Source organism: Homo sapiens, chromosome X (assembly GCF_000001405.40).
Source record: "Homo sapiens chromosome X, GRCh38.p14 Primary Assembly".
NCBI lineage: Eukaryota > Metazoa > Chordata > Mammalia > Primates > Hominidae > Homo > Homo sapiens.
Window position 1 is genome coordinate 153,696,743 of NC_000023.11, and position 3,749 is coordinate 153,700,491.

Sequence of the window (3,749 nt, forward strand, 5' to 3'; positions counted from 1 at the left end):
GGAAGGCAGCAGCCCAGGGGAAGGCCTTGTCCCCCTGGAGCCGAGGCAGTTGGGGAGAGCAGGACGAGAGTGAGCTGGAGAGCAGCCACACCCGCGGGGAAGGGTGGGCGTAAAGCCATGGGTGCTGAAATTTTCAAAATGTTACCCCAAGAATTTGTCACTGAACAGGTGCCTTGTGTCACTTGGGCCAGGCTGGTAGCAGCAGAGGGGATAACTCTGCATCAGGGATCAATTTTGAAGGTGGAGCCAATAGGGGTTGTGCATGACCAGGATGCAGGGCTCAAAGAGGAGTTAAGGACAACAGATTTGGCCTGAGCAAGAGGAAAGATGGAGCTGCCAGGTCCTGCAATGGGGAGGCAAGGAGAGAATGGTCTGGAGTCAGCCTTGGGTGTGTCATGCAGGAAGTGTCATCCAAGTGGAGATGTCTAGTTGGCAGGTGGACACAGGAGTTCCAGAAAGTACTGGAGATGGAACTGTGCAAGTTCTTACCACATAGAGATGACACTGAAAGCCCTGAGCCTGAGTGAGCTCACAGGGACGCCGCAAGCCCCGGAACACAATGAGAGGGGCAGAGCGAAGACGTGGCAGTGATAGGGGAGGACGCCTGAGAGTTCCTGGTGGGGTCCTGCAACCTGAGCCAGTGAGGACCCCTCACAGGTCAGGGAGGAGCAGTGGCTGGCTCCATCTGTCCAGTGCTGCTGCTGGTGAAGGACAGTGACCTGCAAATGCTCACTGAGTCTGGCAAGGGTCACGGGGGCCTGGCGAGGGTGGCTTGCATGAGCGGGTGCGTGTGAAAGGCTGGGTGGTGTGCGACTGAGAAAAGGAGTGGCGGCAGCGCAGTGTCATCTGCAGACGAAGGGAGAGACAACAACGTAGTTCACCCAGACAAGGAAATATGAGCCAGCCTGGAAAGGGAAGGCATTCCAACACACGACACAACATGGCTGACCCTGGAGGGCATTTCTGTGAAATGAGCCATCATAAAGGGATACTTGCTATAGGGTTCTGCTCCTGTGAGAGAGACAGGGCCTTACATGAGAGGAGGGAGATCCACAGAGACAGAGGGCAAGGGTGGGTGCCAGGGGCTGGGGACAGGGTGGGGAGTGTTGAGTGGGGACAGAGTGTCAGTTTGAGAAAATAAATTCTAGAGGTGGATGGAAGTGGTGGCTGCGCAACACTGTGACTGCACTTAATGCCACTGAATTGCACATTTAACGATGGTGAAAATGGCTCATTACATATACACTGATGACACTATATATATGTATGATATATATGCGTTTTACCATGAGAAGAGGTGGAGAGGAATTGGAGACACTGAGTACAGACAGGTCCTTCAACGGGCGGGACCCCGTGCACAAGATGAGCATGTGGCACCCCACCCTCAAAGGGCTGGGCACCATGGCAGGGCACAGCAGGCAATGCAGTGGGCGGCTCAGGCAAGCACAGAGAGCATCAGAGATTGGAGCCTGTGAAGGGGGAGCAGGTGACCCCTCAGAGCAAAGTGACAGCTTGGGCTGCTCCCTTTGCGTCCTGCCCAGGACTGCTATCGTGCTATGGGAGAACCCCCAGAGGCCCTGCTCCTCAGCAGGCAGCACCCCCTATGGAGGGGCTTTACCCCTAAACTTCTGGAGCCAGGGGAGGGACCTGGCTTGGAATACGGCCAACCAAGAGCCTGGGTGAGAAATACACGGACCAGACAGGGAGCAGAGAAAGGAGTGGCAGTGCAGTCCCACCCTAGCTCAGCCAGGGGCTCTGGAGCCTGTCCTGCAGTCCCTGGCCCCCATCTCTTCAGCAACCGCTGTTTCCAGTTTTCTTTTTCTCCCTGAGAAGCCTGTCCTCTCACCATGCCTGCGCCTTCAAGAACCCCGCCTGCTGGCAGCTCCCACATCTCCGGCCTGGCCCTCCTTAGCTGCAAAGGTGCTTCCCAACATCAGCAAGACCTCTCCCCAGGGTGCCCCAGGCCCTCACACAGCCCCTGTCCCCAACCGACTCCAACTGTCCTGCAGCCCACAGTCACCCTCAGGACCCCTGAGCTCAGGCCAACTGCTTTATACACTGTCAGCCAAGTCTCTGCCTGGATGACAATCACCCTCTGCTAATTGTTCTCCGCACCTCCAGGCCAAATGCCCTCCAAGCCACCTCATGCACCACGATGACACTAAACACACAGAAAAAAGACATTGAAAAAAGGAAACTTCACAGAGGCCTGTCACTTAAAGAGGGTCCTGAAATAGAGACACCATTTCCTCAGGACTTAGCTCCTGCATCAGGGGTTAGGACACAGAGATCAACAAGCAGCAGGCTTTGCCCTCAAGCAGCTCGCAGTCTAGTGGAAGATGGGTAAGAAAACAGATCAGGACGCCCACGGGTGCAGATGCCCTGGAACAGAAGCTGATCCAGGAAGGCGCGAGCCTGCAGGCCGCCCTCCAGTCTAGGCTGGGCAAGCACCTCAATTTTCATCTCTAAGAGCCTGTGCCCACACCCCCTGCCCCGTTGTTGTTCCATCACTCCACTAGAAAGGGCGCTCCAGAAGCTGGCCTCGTGCAGCTTTCTGTCTGCTGCTGGCCTAGGCAGAACAGCGGAAGAAGCCATCAGGGCTGGTGAGGGAAGCACCCGTTTGGACTTTAGCCTTTCAAAGCTCAGAGAAGGGTGAGCTCAGGGAGGTCCAAGGTAGCTGAGAGCACTTCCTGGAAAAGTGGGATCAGCCTTCGGCCTTGGCACAGCAACCAGAGGGTATCGCCCACGTGTCCCCTACTCCCTCAGACACCACCTCTCAGACCGCCTGGAAAGGGACAGAACTCGTCATGAGGCGGCTGTGCTCTGAGCACAAGGGAAGGGCGACAGGATGCTAGAGAAGGGAACCACTGGCCTGGGCCCGGACAGGGCAGGCAGAAGCGAGCATGCACAGCAGGCCGTCAGCTACCCTGCCAGCATCAACATCCTTCAGGGGTCCCCCCAGTTCCAGGAGACACACCTCTAACCTGCTCCCCTGACCCTTCCGCCCAGTCCTCATGCAGACACCAGGCATGGCAGAGGCCCTGCAGGGTGGAAGCACTGTGCTGCGGGCGGGGGCTGCCTTCCTCATGTGCTACTGGAGAGTAGCACAGTGCAGGGGCCTGGGCACTGGTGCCAGGCAGGAAGCCCCGGTACTGGCCTGGCTTGCTGTGGGCCTGGAAGACACAGCTCTGAGGGAGCCACGGGAGGGACACCCTGGAGCCAGCACAGCGCTCTGGTGGCAGGCACACACCCAGCACGTTCTCAGGGCCAAGGGCCCCAGCCCATTCCCAGCCCCTTTCTGCCTAGCTCTGCCCTGGGCCAGCTCCAGGTCACTGCCAAGGACAAGTCTCCTCTCCCAGCTGGCATTAGTCAGAGGTCATCCTGCAAACCTTCGGGGGGGGGGGCAGGGAGTGACTAGTGGCGTTCTGCCACGTTCTGTCTGTCCCAAATGTGACGAACAGGAACCCAGAGAAGGCAAGCGAGTCCTCTACCCGGAAGCCCCGCCGGTTTACTGAGCCTCCCAAGCTGCCCACACCCAGGGAGGCAGACAGGACACACACTCGGCGGGTGGCCCTGAAGCGAGGCCTGGCCCAGCCCGGGGAGCAGGAGGACAGAGAGGGCAAGGCCTTCGAGAACAGGTGTGAGCCTGGCCTTCAGTGGGGGAAACAGGTTGAAGGGCTGTGGCCGCTTGGGGGCTCCAGGCAGGAGAGAAAGCAGAGCCCTCCCCACAGCTGCAGTCACACACCGCA